This window comes from Homo sapiens, chromosome 10 (genome assembly GCF_000001405.40).
Source record: "Homo sapiens chromosome 10, GRCh38.p14 Primary Assembly".
Taxonomy (NCBI): domain Eukaryota; kingdom Metazoa; phylum Chordata; class Mammalia; order Primates; family Hominidae; genus Homo; species Homo sapiens.
Window position 1 is genome coordinate 124,005,186 of NC_000010.11, and position 16,916 is coordinate 124,022,101.

Genomic DNA, 16,916 nt, shown 5'->3' on the forward strand with positions numbered 1-16,916 from the left:
CGGGAAGGTGCGCTGTCCCAAAATAGACGCATCCAGAAGCTCGGCCTTCTGCTGAGGGCAGCCCCCTCCCCACTCAGACCTGCCTGAGCTGTACAGTAGAGCACAGGGAACCAGCCACGGGGTACCTCCTCCATCCCACGCTTGGCTGACTGGCCAGCTCTCCACACCACCCTCCTGTGCTTGGCCGAATACGGGCCTTTGAAGATGTCCATGTCATAATCCCTAGAGCCTACAAATATGCTCCCTTCTATGGCAAAAGAGGCTTTGCAGATGTGATCCAGATATGGGGAGATGATCCCGGATTATCTGGTGGGCCCGGTGTCATCGAGAGGGTCCTTACGACACCAGGAGCATGAGGGTCAGAGAAGGCCATGTGATCTCTGAAGCAGAGGGAGAGAGTTAGACTTGAAGATGCCATGCTTTTGACAACAGAGGAAAGAACCAGGAGCCATGAGAGCAGGCAGCCTCTCAAAGCTGGAAAAGGTAGGAAAACACTCCCTTTGAGCCCCTGGAAGGAACCAGTCCTGCTCATCACTTGAATTTAGCCCAGTGAGACCAACTTCAGACTTCTGGCCTCCAGCACTGTAAGATCATAAACTTCTGTTGCTTTGAGCCACTAAGTTTGGGGTGATTTATAGTAGCTGCTGTAGTTTGGATGTGTGTACCCCAAACCTCATGTTGAAATCTGATCCCCAGTGTTGGGGTCATGGGGGCAGAGCTCGCAAGAATAGCTTGGTGCCATCCTGGGGGTAGTGAGTTGTTGCTCTATTTGTTCCCGCAAAAGCAGGTTGTTAAAAAGAGCCTGGCACCTCCCTCCCCCGGCCCTGCCCTCCCCTGTGACCTCTGCGCAGCCCGCCCTCTTCACCTTCCGCCAGGCGTGAAGCAGCCTGAGGCTTTCACCCAATGCTCAATCCTTAGCCAGCAGAATCGTGAGCCAAACAAGCCTTTTTTCCTTTATACATTTCCAGCCTCAGGTACTCCTTTATAGCAACATAAATTCACAAAGCTCCCAGGCCGACAGCTGTTCCGGCCGATGCAGCTTCTGCCCCACGGGACCTATTCTGTCTCTGCTGCTCTGCAGGGAACCTTGCCCGGTGAAGTACTGGGAAAACCCGATTCATCAGAGTGATGTTTTCCTATCAGTCCCCATGGGATCCACCTCACCATAGGCAGCACAGCTGCCTGGAGGGTGAGATTTCTGGAGTAACAGGAAAATAGTCACCCACATAATCCCTGTCTCCACACTCAGGGATCCTTGGAGTTCCTCCACCTGGAGCACAGCCTTTGCTTCAGTTCCCAAATAGGGTCATTTTGTGGGGAAGAGGCATACTCCTCATCAGGATCCTTCCCGAGGGCTGGTTTCTCGGTGGGGAGTGGGTGGCCTCACGGGAGAGGCTTTCAGAGGAAATCTGAAATGGAGGGAGGTCATACCCTCAGCCCTCAAAGATGCACCCCAGCCGTCCTGCTCCTGACTCCCACCCGTCCTCCATTCCCTGCTGGGTAAAGCCATTCCTGACCCTCGCAGGAAAAGATGGGGTCTTCCCTATTTCCAGCCTGGACACACCTGCCCCCTACCTCAACACACCACTGTGGGAGGTGGTGCTGGGGAGAAGGCTCCCCCAGGAAGGTCTGCCCAGAACTGGGGGACCCACCATGGTCCACGCTGTGCTCAGGATGGCCCAGCTTTCAGAGCCCTAAGCCTGAGATGTCCCCTCTGTATGGGCTGAAAAGTGTGCCCCAAATTCGTATGTTGAAGTCCCAATCTCGAGTACCTCAGAATGTCACTGCATTTGCAGATAAAGTTGTTTAAAGAGATGATGAGGTTAAGATGAGGCTGTCAGAGCACGCCTTCATCCACTCCGACTGGTGTCCTTATAAGGAGAGGAAGAGGCAGCAGGGGTGTGTGTGTGTGGCCACATGAACACACAGAGAGAATCAGCCATCAGCAAGCCAAGGACAGAGACCCCCAGAGAAACCAGCCCTGCAGCACCTTGATCTCGGGTCTCTGGCCTCCAGACTGAGAAAATCAGTTTCCGTTGTTTGTGGTCTTTTGTCCTGGCTGCCCCACCTGAGTGCACACCACACCTCCTTCTGCGGGCTTGCCCTCAGCAATAAGGACATGTGCCAGAGACACCAGGGGTCTCAAACTCACAGCTGCCAGGGGCCAGGCAGGCCACCGGAATGAGGCCTGTGGTCACTTAACCTTCAAATTTGAAGGTCTGAAGACAACGCTAGGCCTGACTGTGGCTGGGCCAGACCTCCCACCCTGACTCACACCCCAACAGGACTCGCACAGGGAGTCCCTGCTAACATCTGAATCCTTTTCTCTCTGGTCTTGAGTTTTCTTCTGCCTGTTGCTCGCACAATCACACCTCGTCTCTCAGCAGCCAGCACAGCTGTAACTCCTCTTTACACAGAGCCTGCACAACTCGAGCAGGTGCGACACTAAACCACTGCGATTCACTCATGCACCAGGAAGAGCTTGGCTGCAGAGGAAGAGCACGCGCTCCACAGGCGTCACTCTTATGGGTCCATCTTTAATTATGTTAAATATTAATAAAAGTACAGCGTAACTGCGATTCACTTAACATACCTTACAGGACTAAGGGAGTACAATTTAACACGGTCACAACTTTTGAGAACAAAAAGGAACTTCAATACCATGTTGTGAGAAATGCTCCAATTTGCTTTGGTTTTGAATGGCAGGCTCGAGAACCACCGCCCAGAACGGAACCTATTCTGTCAGCAAGAGCCGGGCCTCGAATGAGAGGAAGCAGAGGCAGCCGAAGTGCCCTCTGGAGAGAAAGGCCCCTGGAGGGAAAAACCATGTCTGGATGGCATTGAGTGGCACAGAAGGGATGGGACTGCATATATAAAAAAGATCCGCATAATAAACCAAATAATATTGGAAATAATACCTTCAGTAATACTTCTGTAAGAAGCAGAATTACACCACATGTTATTCACATGCATAGGAGTGCATAAGAAAAATCCCTTGTTGTAATTATGGTTGGTGTGGAATAGTAAAATATGTACTGAAAATGACAAGTTAATTGGCAGAGAAATTAATCTATAAAAGGGTTGTGTCCAGAGCGGAGGAGCCTCATTAGCAACTGAACAGAACCCACTCAGAAGACGCACTCACCCACACGTGCGCGTACACACACACACACGCGCGCACTGTACTGCAAATAAATATACACACACACTGAAGTGATCTCTCCCTAAAGCATCCTTGTGCTCAGGCCAGATTTCCCTGCTGGCGGCTGCTCCCAGTGCCGGCTATAGAGAAGGTGGGGACTGTCCCTGCAAGTGGGAGTTCAGGACACACGCTCCTTCAGTAGCAAAAACAGCCCTGGCCATCCTGGCGCTCAGAGCCCTCTGCACACCTTCGAACGGGCTGTGTGTCCCTTCTCTGATGGCAGAAAGACAACACCAGCAGAAAGACGGCTGAACAACTGCAGATCCTCCTACCCCCGAAGCCTGGTCTGTCTCACACATACAAGTTAGAGCTGGGTAGACGGGTGCTTGCACTTTCTGGCTTTGGTGGGCGAGACCTTGGCCTGAGAACTTTGGTTCACAGGAAGCTTCCCTTGACAATACTTGAGTGCAAAGCTTCATCCAGGTCCCACCTGGGCTGTTGCCAAGGATGCTCAAGCGTTCTCTTCAATCTTCCCTGTGACTTCCAAGAAACGACAAGATCTCTAGCCCATCCATCGGTAAACCAAGCTGCCAAGTGGCCTGGAAAATTCCATGAAGAACACGGCTCTTAGAAACCTCATTCCAAATCTCAACACGCCACGTTCAGCCCAAGTTCAGCTTGTGCATTGTGTTTTGGAATTGGGACACGAGTATCTATAGTCCCTTGCTGGGTGAGGAACTTTGACCACACGCAGTGGAGAATGTGGAAATAAACTATTTCCAATGGGAAGGCAGAGAAATGGAGCCTGTAGCCGGCCAGAACTAAAAATTAAAATCCTCTGTTTCTCTGATGATCTTGTAAACCTGATGAGGGCTTGAATTACCTAGATTTTCCAAGAAGTGTTCAATTCCTTGAGGTTGCTCATTCTGGCATTAACAGCAAAAATTTCTCTTCCAATTATAAACTGAAGTTCTTGAGAAAACGTATGAAGAGGCAGCAGAGAGAGAGCCAGGACTGGTTAAATGCAGAAAGTGGTTTTGTTTTAAACGCATTCATTTTCTATGTTAAACATAAGTCCACAAGGACAGAATAGGAGGAGGTCAGAAAGATGAAGGTGCTGCCAAAAACTGACTTATTTTTTTCCTTTTGGAAACAGTGACGTTAACAGGGTTTACATCTGAAGAAACTGGAGGGCTGAGTTTGGAGTAAAGGAGAAAAAAAAAATGAAGAGCCTCCATTCTCGAAAGACTGCGGTTCTCTGTCCCAGTGAGGTTAGCGATCGCAACAAGAGTGTTTCAGAAGTGAATGTGGTATGATCACACCTGTGAAGATAGCCATTGAATACAGACAGTCTGTGCAACACGGCGAGACCCCATCTCTAGGGGGAAAAAAAGGGAACGTGAAGTGTAAGTTCCAGCCAGGCCTGTGGCATGACCTCTGGCTTGCTGACTCAGAACCCAGAGGCTCTCCAGAAGGCGGAGGCGGGCAGGGCCAGGCTGCCTTCCCTAGGTGTTCTCTCCACACCCAGTGCAGGCCAGCTGGCTGCATCCCCAAGCTCCAGGACGCTCAGAGCAGAGCTGAATTCTTGAGAAACTGGGGTCTCCAATGGCCTCGGATAGAGGAGCTCTGTGAGGGGTCCATTGCTGAGCTCTCGAACATCACGAAGGAAATTCCAAAATGGTTATAATTCATGTGTGCCTAGAGTGGCAGAGTCCTGGGGTTTTCCATACCATGAGTGAAACAGTTCCCCGCAAAGAGATTTGTAAAATCCTGATGATGACGGCATTGGCGGGCCCAGCACGTGCAGCAACAATTCAGCTCTCACGTCGTCTTCCACGCAAACGCCTCATCCGCGAGGACCTGCGCCAGCCTAGCGTTGAAGGGCCTGTAGAAATCCCGCAGAATCTTCTGTGTGATGGGCCACATGGGCCCCAGGTTCCGGTCCTCGGGACGCCGTGCATTGGATGCGGGGCTCTTGGTCATCAAAGCCTCCTGCTTCTCACTTAAGGGCCCTAGAATAAAAGAAGACGAGTCCCGTAAGGCAGGAGGCATGGCAGGAAGTAAAAGGGACTTTGCAAAAATCCCAGCTATGCTTCGTATTCAGACAGGAGTTTCCTTTAAGAGAACATATTTAGGGATTAAAATTCTTTGGCTGGATCCATTTTGGAAGCACTGAGGGAGGAAGGTGGAAACACCATCAGGAAATTGCGAAGAAATTCTGCGGCGGGTGCAGGATGCCCACCCTCGGGGGAGCCCAGCTGGCATTTAATGATGATACAGCGTCTAAGGCTGACCTCAAGGATTCCCTTCCAATTGCCCTTGGTGGGCTGCTCTCCATGGGTGTCAGCCCGTCCTTGGAGGAACGTGCGGCCTGCCGAGCACAGCCCACGGGTTTCGGTTTTCCTGCTCAGCAGCCCTCTGGAATTCCGCCATCATCGTTTCTACTTCAGGCTGCTCATGCCAAGGTCCCTGGGCCTGCACAGTTTCACCCTGTGCGTCTTGCTGTGAAGTGGCCATAGGGAGGAGGGCTGGGAGGAGGCCACTTGTGCCCAGAGCCCCCACTGGCTGAACCTCCATCTGCAGCAAGGAGATCAGGGAGAAGAGGCCTGCCGGCAAGGGCTGTCAGTCACCCCCACGCCCCGCCCTCTGGAGTGAGGCGAGGCCCTGGAACAGGCTGGCAGAGGTTGTCAGTCACCGCCACGCCCCGCCCTCTGGAGTGAGGAGAGGCCCTGGAAAAGGCCGGGAGGGGCTGTCAGTCACGCACACGCCCCGCCCTCTGGAGTGAGAGGCCCTGAAACAGAACAGCAAGGGCTGCGACCCCAACGCCCCGCCCTCTGGGCCACAGCTTCTTGGTGTAACCCATCACTGCTCAAGCCTCTTTACCGGGGGCTCTTGGGATCTGGCCAAAGTCCTTAGCCCATAGACAGAAAAAGCATGTCCCAGCATCCTAGGGCCATATGAAACACAGAATTGGCCTTACTATCCATCTTGGGGACAAAAGACAAGCTCATTAATGGGACAGAGTCAACATGTGGTCAAATCAAAGAAAGATGATTCTAAGCCTTGGAAGGGAAAGAACTCATCAAACTCCAAAAAAAGGAGAAACAAAATCAAATGATCAAAGAGGCCCAAGTCCCAGTGGCAGGCAGATATATTTTCAGAAATACTCAATTAACCAAGTTCCCGGGCAAGACCATTAGTCAGGGCTGCAGGAGGCGTTCTGGGAAGGAGGGCGGCTTGTTCGAGCCTGCTCAGCCTTTCAAGCCATCCCTCGGTGCCCCGTCCACATGGGCAGCACTCGCTCCGCCAGCACATGCCTCTGCCAGCCATCACCATAGTCAGCAGTGTGGCCTGTCACCACAAAGTGACTCTCAGGCCCCTGGGGGGGCTGGTATCCACAGGCTGAGGGCAGGCGCTCATGCCCCAGGGGCCCAGCATCCATGATCAGCAGCCAAAACTCAGCCACACGGCTCTGACTCCTGGAATTTCCAAGAATACCGGAGATGATGCAATGATCTGTCTGTTCCCTCCTCTAAGCCCCAAGTCCTCTGCTCCAGCCCCCCGGTGACATCCTGTTGGTCCTACAAAGCTCAGCTCTCAGGCCCTTTCCTTCCATGAAGCCTTCCTCATCCGTGCAGTAGCTGGGATCCCAAACCATCAGCACATACCTTACATGACAGTGCTGACCTTCCCCACGGCATCCTACCTGTCATTCAGTTAGGTGAGCTATGGCTTCCTCCTCTCCCTTCACTAGACCATAAGCTCCCAGAAGGGAAACCATCTCCTTCTCTCCAGAGAATCCCTCACCATACTGTGCACAATGACCTATGTACAGCTAGTGCTCAATAAATGGTACTTAACAGGCCTCCTGAAGGACATCCCCAGGCCTCCCAGCTCAGCCCATTCCCACCCAGCTGACCAGGTCTGCATTTGCCCCAGAGGACTCCCAGAACAAGTCCACGGAGCTCATGCTTTGGCCCGTCAGTCTAAGCACCACACTCATACCTAGGTTCAGAAACTGGAAGACCTTGTGCATGGTGTACTTGACGTTGGATGCATGATCTTCCAGGCGAAGAATGAGAAACTGTTGCTTGTCAAAAACGCTGAGCCAGTCCAGAAGGTACACAGCATAGAGCCCAACCTGGAGCCTCACCTAGGACCACAGAAGAAGGGCATTATTTCAGGAGCAGTTGCCCCAACACCATAGGGCACTTTTCCAAAGTGGTATGGCATTTCACTGTACCACAAAAGAGTTATCCTAGCAAAGTTACTTTCAGAAGCTGGATTTTAACACAAGGTGTTCTTGCTTCTTTATGGGGGGTTTTGTGCTACATGTGCAAAGAATTCCTATATTAGGGGTTGCATTTCATCCTCACAACACCCTGTGGGTAGCGCCATGCCTCCATTTCACAGGTAAGGACTGAAGTGCAGGGAAGAGGTCAAGGTTGTGGCCACCAATGGTGTACATGTTCCTCGCACAATATCCTGGCTGTTTCTCTGTTCCCAGTGTGACCTCTATGCCCAGCACACAACGGGATGTGAAAAATCAACCACAGACACCCCAAAGACAACCTACATGAGTGAAGAGCCAAATGCCTGATGCCAGAGGAACATCCTTGACTGTGAGGGTGTGTGTAATTCAGCATCTAATCATTACTGAACCAAGTACACAGGAGGATGTTTCTATTTAAGTCCTTTCTACTTTCCAGTACCCATTTCCCGGGTCTTCACCCTTCTGTTCCTTCTCTCGTGCCTTACTGCAAGCCGTGTGGTGAAGATTTAACTCTACTCAGAGAGAACTCGGGCCTTTCCCTCGGCTCCTGGGGGTGATGTCTGGGCCCCTGGATGTCCTGCCTGACAGAAGTGTCTTGGTTGGCCTGAGGGCTTTGGTCATAGGCAGGCTAACACTGAGATTGATGATGGGGCCTTGGGCCACATGGTATCAGTTCTGACTCTGGTAGGACTGGAGACTAAAGGTCAGCCACAGCATCTGCATGTGACGGAACCCTAGTAAAAGGCCTGGACCCCCAAGGCTTGGCCTGGCAATACTCCACGAGGATTGCCACATACCATGGCCAGTGGCACTAACACCGTCCATGACTCCACAGGGAGAGGAGGACTCAGAGCTCCGCATTTGGGCCCCTCCTGGAGTCTGCCCCCTGCACTTCCTCTCCCTTGGCTGATTTTAATCTTCATCCTTTCCCTGTAATAAATCATAACCAATAGTGTAATAGCCTCCAGTGTGTTCTGAGAATCCTTCTGGAAAATTACTAAACCTGAAGGTGGGTTGGAGAATATCTCTCCTGAACTTGCAACTGGTGTCAGAAGTGAGAGCAGTCTTAGGAACAGTTTCCTCTAACTCCACAGTTCACCCTAAACTCTTAGCAAAGCTTCCAGAAAAAAACAGCCTCATCCCCTTTTGCTGTGAGGCCCCCTTCTCCAGGGCTTCTCCCCTTGCCTCTTCTCCAAGTGCCCAGGGACCCTGCTCTGCCTATCTGTGTCTGCCCAGAACTTCTCATCTCCCACCTCTCCCCAGTTCACACCACTCCCTTTGTTTATGCCCCATCTACACCTGCCTGAAGCTGATACAGCCTCCTGGCTAGTCCTCCTTCCCCTGGTCTCTGCACTCTCATATGCACCCTGCCACCAGCATGGGCTTTCCAAAGCAGTGATCTGGCCACAGCCAGCCCTGCTTAAAGCCTCCATGGCTTTCTATGTGTAGAAAGTCCTGGGCCTGGCTTAAACTTCCAGCTCATCCTCTCATACATGCAGCACTTCCTGGCTCCCCAGGCTCCTCCCTGGAGTTCCCATTTTTTAGGCAGACACTCTCATGTCACATTTCCTTTCCTGCCCAACTTGACCTGGACCTTGACCTTGAGGGCAGGGACTGTGGCTTCTCCACCATTCCCTCCTTGCAAAGCCTGCACTCTGGCCCTCAACATGGTTCTCGGGTGCAACTGCTGAATACAGTGCTAATAATAAGACAATGAAAGATTGGGCAAAATATGTACAGATGCTAACTATTCTTTTCCCATTTCATTATTTTTCTAACCATGGAGGAGGATGGAGAGGAAGAAAAGCAATTAGAGTGGATAAGTTGCCTTCAAAATTCATTAGCTGTTTCCAACCCACACTGTTGCTACCTCACATGCCAGCTCAGAAAAAAGACCTCAAGCTGGGCCGAAACTAAAGAGAAAATGAGAACGTGCCGGTCTCAGAAATAAACATGTGTTGTCACCTCCAACGCAGACGAATCATGACGAGACCAACTCGCTGTTAAGTCACCCGCCTCCCGGGGCTTTTCAGTTGTCTCCCTGGCAGGCTTGTAGGCCGTCCCTCGTAGGGGAGACCAGTCTGATGAGGTTTTTCTTTTCCAGAGGACGTGCCTTTCAACAGGAGAACTTTCCAGAAGGAAAGCAGCCAGGTGTTTGTGGCAGGCTGGGGTGTTTTAGAGCAGCTGTAGTCTGTCCGAGCACCTGGCTGGGCACCTGCACCTGACAGATAGTTCTCTGAAACCTTGTTTGTGTCCATCCTCATGAGAGCCCCCTGTGCTGTCTCAGGTGGACACAGGCCTGCACCGCAGCATGGTCCTCCTCAGCAGGCAGGGCTGAGCCAGGAAGCGGAGGAAAAGAGGAAACCGCAGGGGCTGCAGGCGGCAAAGGCCTCCTGGCGCTCGGCTGCTTCTCCCGGGGCTAGCTCCCCTCCCGCTTTGTGCCTTCCCTCTGATCTATCTGCTCCAAACGCCCCTCAATTCCCACCCCAACCCCCAGCCCCCTTGCCAAGCAGGGGGAGTGTGGTCACCTGAAGTGACAGTTTCTGGTGCAGGCAGTATCACTACTGCAACCATATGCACCATGAAGACAGGACAAAGACAGCCCCCAGCAGATTTTTTTTCCCCTCACCTTTTCCCGGTATAGGACAGAGAATCAAAATAGAACAAAAATAAAAAGCGTATTTAGGGCAAGTGTCCAATGTGCTTAAAATTAGAAAACATCAGAGCTGCAAGAAGCCTTTGAAGTTAACCGTGCCAGCTGATTCACCAATAGAAACATGGAGGTGCAGGGCAGGGCGGGGGGGGCTACTCAGGGTCAGTGGCCAATACCCTTGGAGCCAGGACCTGAAGCCAGGTCACCTGTGCTTGTGGAGCTTGTCCCCCATGCAGGGCCCCAGGGAAAAGCAATCCCCACCGAGAGCCAAGGCTGAGCTGAGCACAGTCCCAGTCCCCACTTCTCCCCAGACAGGTACCAGGCCGAGCCTCTCCGTCCCCTACTAGGGATTTCAGTTGGGAGTCCCCAGCCAGCCTCCCCACTAGTCCCCATTCATTCATTTGGCAAATAAGCTGAGCTCGTGCCACCATGTGCCAGGCACCCTGCTAGGCAATGGTGATTTGCTGCTAACAGAAGTGGCCCTGGCCTCAGGGAGGCTGCAATCTCATGGAGACAGAGCTCAACTGGTAAAGAAACAGACTTCCGCGATCACCTTGTGATGCATGCAATGGAGAAAAGGAGTGGGTGGAGAGAGAAGACAGTCAGAGTAAAGCAAGCCCTGGAGCAAGTCTCCCCGACCCCAGAGGGCACGAAGGAGGGAGTGGTGACGAGCCCTGGTGGCTCTCCAACCGGACCCCACAAACACCCACCTGGAGGGCCTGAGAAACACACCATGGCCCCGTACCCAGAGTTTCTGATTCAGGAGGTCTGGGACTGGCAGAGCGTTTGCATTTCTGACAAGTTCCCAGGGGCTGTGGCTGCTGCTCATCCAGGCACCAGGCTTCTCGGGACCCTGCTCTGAGGCAGGCTCACTGGCCCCTCTGAGCACCCCTCAGGGTAGGGTGTGCTGCGGAACAGTGGCGGGGGCTGGCCAGAGGCAGAGGGGTCTGTGCTGCCCCTGCATCCGGGTGCCACAGGAAGGCGGTGAATGACTCCAGCAGGGTGTGCCGGGGCCCAGGGTGCCTTACAAAGCTGCCCTCCCAGGGCTGTGGCAGGGCTGGGATTCACATCTGGAGGGAAACCGGCTTCTCCTCCCAGAAATGAAAATTCACCTCTATAAGGAGGGTTTCTGATTGCCTGGCTCTTTCTCTGGTGTGTGAGTTCTCCAGGGACTGAAGATTAAGGGACAATCTGTTACTGCTGCACCCCTCCTGTCCACTGAGCCTGCCCCTGGGGATCTCCTCTGAGCAGAGGCACCTGCTAAGCTACTGTCTTGTCATCCTCAGCAAAACGCAAAATTGAGCATAAAAGCCCAGGCCTCCTGCCAGCAAAACCCTTTGCTTTTAGGAGCCAGCTAGGGAAGGCAAAAACTCCCTGAGTGTCAAACGCCAGCAGACCCAGGATTGAACCTTGAGCCTGCCTGATACCAGCTATGGATGGGAGAACTAACCTCTGTGAGCCTCAGTCTTCCCACCTGTAAAACAGGGATGGATTTCAGGGGATCTCTAATGAGACGATGCATTGAAAGGGCTTGGGACAGGGGCTGGCAGTAATGAACAAAGGTTAGATCCCTTTCACCTCTCACAGATGGAGTTTTAGAAACCTTTTATCACGAAGACTCAAGCATACACAACACAGGGAGGATCACGATGGTGCCCATGAACTTATGGCTCAGTTTCAGCTGTGCTCTCCAGTTCACAGTCGGAGTGCTGACCCGCAGCAGGAGGGCAGGGGCACACCCTCCCTTCTGTGTGGGAGAAACTATCCAAGGGCTTGCCCCCAGGGCGCTGGATGGGAGTCGGCACACTCTGCATGGTACAAAGTGCCCGGTAGCAAGCAGACTGTACGTGCATATTAGATATTAGCTCTTCTGCAGCAAGAAACACTATTTAAAGCTATTAAAATAAACTGTGCCTTGGGTCAGGAGTTCCCCCCTGCCCTGCCTCTCCCTGTCCATCTAAACCCAGCCCAGCTTAAGCCGCTTCCTCCTAGGAGTCCCCAGTGCAAAGCCCACACCTGCCCCACTTTTCCCAGTCCTTTTCAGGCAGCCTCCTGCAGAGAGAACTCAGTGGTCCCAGGGCCTGCAGGGGAGGGCTCTGGCACCTTCTACGACCACATTAGCCGGATACCTTGCCCCTCACTGTCCTCATCTGCTGACAGTGACAATGACTGACTCCTGTCTTCCCACCCACCTATCGGGTTTGTTTTGAGAGTCACGCAGGATCACCAAGAGGAGAAAGTTTCAAAAGGCACAATGTGGTAGAAACGCCCAGGTGGAGACACAGGCCTCATTCCAAGCACACAACTGGTCACAGCACCGTCCTGCACCTTCTCTCTTGGACCAGGGCCTGCCACGCTGTGGGTGCAGAGTAGCAACCACTGAAGATCAGATGGTTGGGGAAATGTTGAAGCCAAACACACATCTAGGGGAAGCTGGGTTAAAAGGCCTAGATTTGGGTCCTAGATCCTCTGCTTACTGGCTGTGACTCCAGAGGAAGGCTGCCTCCCTGAGCCTCAGTTTTCCCAGTAGTAAGCCCCAGGCATGGGAGGGCCTGTGTTAAGGTGTAGTGCCAGGTTGGTGCTGAGTCTACACTGGCTGAATCCATCACTTCCCATCCGTACTCTGACCAGCACACACAGCCTCCTCGGCAGGCTCCACCTGGTGGCTCTTGTCTACCAGGAGGCACTTGGGCAGAGAAGGGAGCCAGGCAAACTGGGTCACCTGGCCGGCTGGGGCCGGGAACCACCAATGCCTTCCTCCTCCTCATCCCTCCCTCAGTCAGGGTGCTGGCCTCAGACAAGCCTTGAAGGCCGTGCACCAAGCTCTTCCTTCCCTGAAAGGAGGCCCCTATCAAAGATGGGACAACACTCCTATTTGGTTCCTCTTGGATTTTCCTTGGACTTTTCCCTCAAGATTCATTCCTGGAGGGGTCCTGCACCCCCTGACCCTCAGGGGACAAAGGTGCACCCTTGCTTCCCACACTAAAGTAGGCAAATCCCCCAGCCATGCTTTAAATTCACCTGGAGACAGTCTCCTGACGATGTCACACATTTTGTTTGTAATTACAGTTGTTTAGGATTCCAATTATATCATTTAATAATGCTGGGGAATTTCCTCTCTTTGCTTTGCATTTATAAATATTGGCTGATTAAGTGAGAGCATGAGTGCCAGCCAAAGAAGTGAGCTCGGAGCCACGAATCCCTGTAAAGGGAAATTATCTCATGGTCATGCACTGGGGGAGACACAGCCAGGCCTGTCTGTTCAGATTCGCCTCTGTGCCCCCGGATCTTCAGAGATTAGGATGTACAGGGAGGGCACCTCTGCTCTGAGCATTTTATGGCCAGCTTCAGAGGAGGAGGGGACAGGGAGGCAAGAATGGCCTTTCTGCTTCTGCTGTTTTCTCAAATGCCAAGCTGTTATATTTGGGGGCAGTGTGCCTTGAACCCCATCAATAGTGATGGCAGTTCAGCATCTTAGAAAGATGCCTGGTGCAACGGATCAAGGTGAGAAGGGGTCTGGGGAGGGGCTGTCTCCCAGAGAGAGGGAAGCTGTGCAGGTGGAGGTTACAATGAAAGGGCCAGTGGCTGAATCAGGGCAATAGCAGAGGGTAGAACAGTGGAGCTCTCTAGAAATACTGGGAAAAAGAGGGAAAAGGACTCGTGGGTGGATTGAATCAGGCATGGTAGGATGATGGGGAAACCCAGTCCGCGAGCACGTTCCCCGATTTGTGTGCCAACCTCGGCATTTGACCCATAATAGCCCTGGCTCTGAGCTGCTGCTATTACTGTTTATGCCAGGACTGAAGGTCCTCCATGCGAGGCCTGCAGGATGGAAGAGCCACCTGCACCAGGAAAGTGTAGATGTGGCACGAAATGGGCCTGGCCTGAGTCACAGCTGCAACTTGATTCGTGTCTGTCAGCACACTGGGCACCCCTCTCTGCTCAGCATCATGATCAGTGCTGGAAGAAACCACAACCCCACCTTGAGGCGTCATGCCAGCGCCCCTTTCCTCCTGCCAGCCCCAGCCCTGAGACCGCCCTCAGGGAGCTGCCTTGAGGACCGGGTGGGCTGCCCTGCCTGCTCTCTCAGACTCACTCCGTAGGGGTCCAGGGCCAAGAGTCACAGCTGAGAGTGGTTCTGGGTCACGAAGCCGGGTCGACAAGCTGTGCTGGTCAAGCCACACACAAATAGAGTTTCTCCGAGACCCTGTGTCCCCTGTGACGGTGGCCACAGAGCCATTGAGTCATTCCCCCTTTGACAATCATGGCCCTCTCCCCGACTGCTCTCTTCATCAAACCCAAGCACAAACACGCACAGGTTTCCCGTTTCTCCGGGTCTCCGTTTCCTTATGAAGGCTCCCTCCCGGGTTACATGAAATTTACGTTAAACAAGTATGTGTGCTTTCTCGCGTTAGTCTTTTATTATAGGTGCCTCAGCCATGAACACAGTAGTGAGATATTCCTTTTCCACTCCTACACTATCTTCTGCTTAAAACCCTCTGAGGGGTCCCATCTCTCTCAGGGTGATGTCTAGACTTCTTCTGAGGCTAGACCAGGTGGTGCGGCCCCATGTGCCACGCACCCAAGCCCCCTGCCTCAGTGCCCCCCATCTCCCACACCAGGCGGCTGGCTGCGTTCTGTATGGTAGGTGGTGCTGACCACTGGGCCTCTGCACACGCTGCTCTCAGTTCCCTGGCCAACTCTCCTTCAGGCCTCAGCACAGACATTCCCTCTCCTAAGAACCTGCCTGAAGCCCCGTTCTCAGGTGGTTCTCTGGTGGCCAGAGCTCCCTGCCCAGCCTCCATCTTCTCTCCCCGCCAGCTGCACAGGAAGGCAAGGACCACACCTGTCCTGGCATTGCTGTGGCCCCAGGACCCAGCGTCATGCAGGGGACATAGTGGCAAGAATGAACGCAGGAATGCAAGACAGACCCATCACAACAGCCTGGTACAGCAGCATTATTACCCCATTGTATGACAAAGCAACTGAGTCTCAGAAAGGCTGAGACAACTGCCTAGAGTCACAGAGCCAGCAAATGGCCAAGCTGGAAACCTGACCCACACCAATGGCTGGTTCCAAAGTGTACTCCTCCTACCTGGCACCAGAGCAGGCTCTGGGGTTACCTGTGTCCCTGTGGCATCTTCCTTGCCAAACTACAAAGTCCAACAGGGCAGCCTGGAATCCCACCTGCTGCCCCTGCATGCTGCCTCCCAGATCCCACGGCCTCTGTAGTAAGAAAGAGGGGGCAGAGCCTCTTGGCCTGAAGTCCCACCACCTGGGGGCTTCCAAGACTCCACAGCAGGCCTGTTGGTGCCTTGCTATGCGAGACGCTGAGCAGAGCAAGGCTTGTAAAGCCACTCTGGAACACGCAGCGGCAATGCTCGCTGCATAAGCCCTGCTGTTGAAGTACACAGCCAGCCCAGGGAGCCCAGCATGGAAAACTATCCCGGGGCTAAAAGGTGCTGAATTCACCAATAACAGCTTTTTGCATTCAAAAAGGCTAGAAATTTACAGACATAGTTCTGAAGGAAGAACAAGAGATACGATTGAGGAATCAACAGAAAATGTTTTTCAATTGAGACTCTGTCAAAGAAGCATTGAAAATCATTGATGGGTAGTTTTTTAAACCAACAAAACAATCCACCGCTCAAGAGAATGCTCTTAAGACAATTTGAGAGTTGGGTGTCCTCATGTCTGCCGATTCTAATTGCTGGGTGTCTTGCTAAATGGTAATCTTCCTAAAGGCACCCTCATCCTCCTGCTGAGGGAGGAGGGGGAGGTGGCAGGTGACCAGCAGGGAGGAAGGCAGGAGCCAGACCAAGAGCCCATCAGTTTTCAGCTTTTACATCCATGAATAATGGGGAACAGCATTTGCACATTAAAACGCTTCTCTCTGTTCCTATGCTGAAACGCAAACCCACAATGCCGCTTGCATAATAACAACAAACCAGCTCCTTCTGCCAGGGGCCAGCTCGGGGGGTACGGGGGGGGGGGGTACACACAGGCATGGCGTTGTTGAGGGTGTTGTTGTAGACGCAGGCGCGCAGTGAATAATCAAGCATGCAATTTTCAAACAGCTGCAGTGCTTCTGTCACTTTCTCATGGAAGTCGTCCGCGGATTTATTCGAACTTGCAAAGTAGAGATAGTCTGAGTACAACCTGTGAATAAAATAAATGCATATTTTTACCACCCATGAACATGCAATCACACCATTTGGGCGACAATGAAAATCAGTGTACAATTACATTATCTAGTTTTCCTGATTGAAGCACAACCACCCTTCTTCTTTCCCTTGCAGATGAGCCACCTCCCTCATCCCTCCGAGCTCCCGCCCTTCTCGTGGCCACCTAAGCTCTTCCAGACCCAGACATGTCTATACTGGCCCCACACAAACCACCAGCCGCTTTTATGGTGTTGCTTGTTCTATCATCTCAGGCAGCCTCTGTTTTCACAGTAACAGGGAGCTTCAAACAATACCAGATTACAAAAATGGTACACTAGCAAAGAGAAGCCATGAAAATTTTATGCACCTTCTCATTCCTCTCTCCTCTACTGAAGGGAACAAAAATAAGAGCATCTGTTGCTCTCACAATATTACAATTCCGCATGAAATTCCCACTACTTTGCATACGCATTCCTGACATTGAAAAAAAAATGATGAGATGTATCTTTCTAGGTTGGTAGGGACCTTGTTTTTAACACGATGTAAAAGCACCCCCACATATGCACAGGAATACCTGCAGACTTACACGTTTACCCGTGGACACAGATCTGTTCCTAGACACCACACACACGTATGGCAGAATGCTGCCGCACGGGAACTGATCGTCTTCCTTGACCCACTTCA

General features: G+C 52.5%; 1 protein-coding gene across 18 annotated transcripts in view, besides 3 other annotated features; it reads right to left on the reverse strand.

Moving 5' to 3' along the window:
* Positions 388-889: an enhancer, noted in NCBI's record as "H3K4me1 hESC enhancer chr10:125765089-125765590 (GRCh37/hg19 assembly coordinates)". NCBI's record gives its function as "activates a minimal SCP1, AML or CMV promoter by ChIP-STARR-seq in primed H9 embryonic stem cells {active_cell/tissue: H9 hESC(primed)}" and the evidence as "EXISTENCE:reporter gene assay evidence [ECO:0000049][PMID:30033119]".
* Positions 2,483-16,916, reverse strand: part of CHST15 (carbohydrate sulfotransferase 15) — an 85,931-nt gene continuing 71,497 nt past the window's right edge. For 9 of the 18 annotated variants that reach the window (NM_001270764.2, XM_047425324.1, XM_047425327.1 and 6 more), the window contains 3 exons: positions 16,071-16,227; positions 7,148-7,295; positions 2,483-5,154 (listed from right to left, as the gene is read on the reverse strand). In NM_001270764.2, coding sequence (NP_001257693.1) covers positions 4,964-5,154; positions 7,148-7,295; positions 16,071-16,227 — 496 coding nt within the window. In that variant the 3' untranslated portion in view covers positions 2,483-4,963. Of the gene's footprint in view, positions 6,622-7,147; positions 7,296-14,465; positions 16,228-16,916 lie in introns of those variants that run through there. The other 9 variants (XM_005269892.5, XM_047425330.1, XM_017016320.2 and 6 more) reach the window with 3 other exon arrangements.
* Positions 15,146-15,651: an enhancer, noted in NCBI's record as "NANOG-H3K27ac-H3K4me1 hESC enhancer chr10:125779847-125780352 (GRCh37/hg19 assembly coordinates)". NCBI's record gives its function as "activates a minimal SCP1, AML or CMV promoter by ChIP-STARR-seq in naive H9 embryonic stem cells {active_cell/tissue: H9 hESC(naive)}" and the evidence as "EXISTENCE:reporter gene assay evidence [ECO:0000049][PMID:30033119]".
* Positions 15,652-16,158: an enhancer, noted in NCBI's record as "NANOG-H3K27ac-H3K4me1 hESC enhancer chr10:125780353-125780859 (GRCh37/hg19 assembly coordinates)". NCBI's record gives its function as "activates a minimal SCP1, AML or CMV promoter by ChIP-STARR-seq in naive H9 embryonic stem cells {active_cell/tissue: H9 hESC(naive)}" and the evidence as "EXISTENCE:reporter gene assay evidence [ECO:0000049][PMID:30033119]".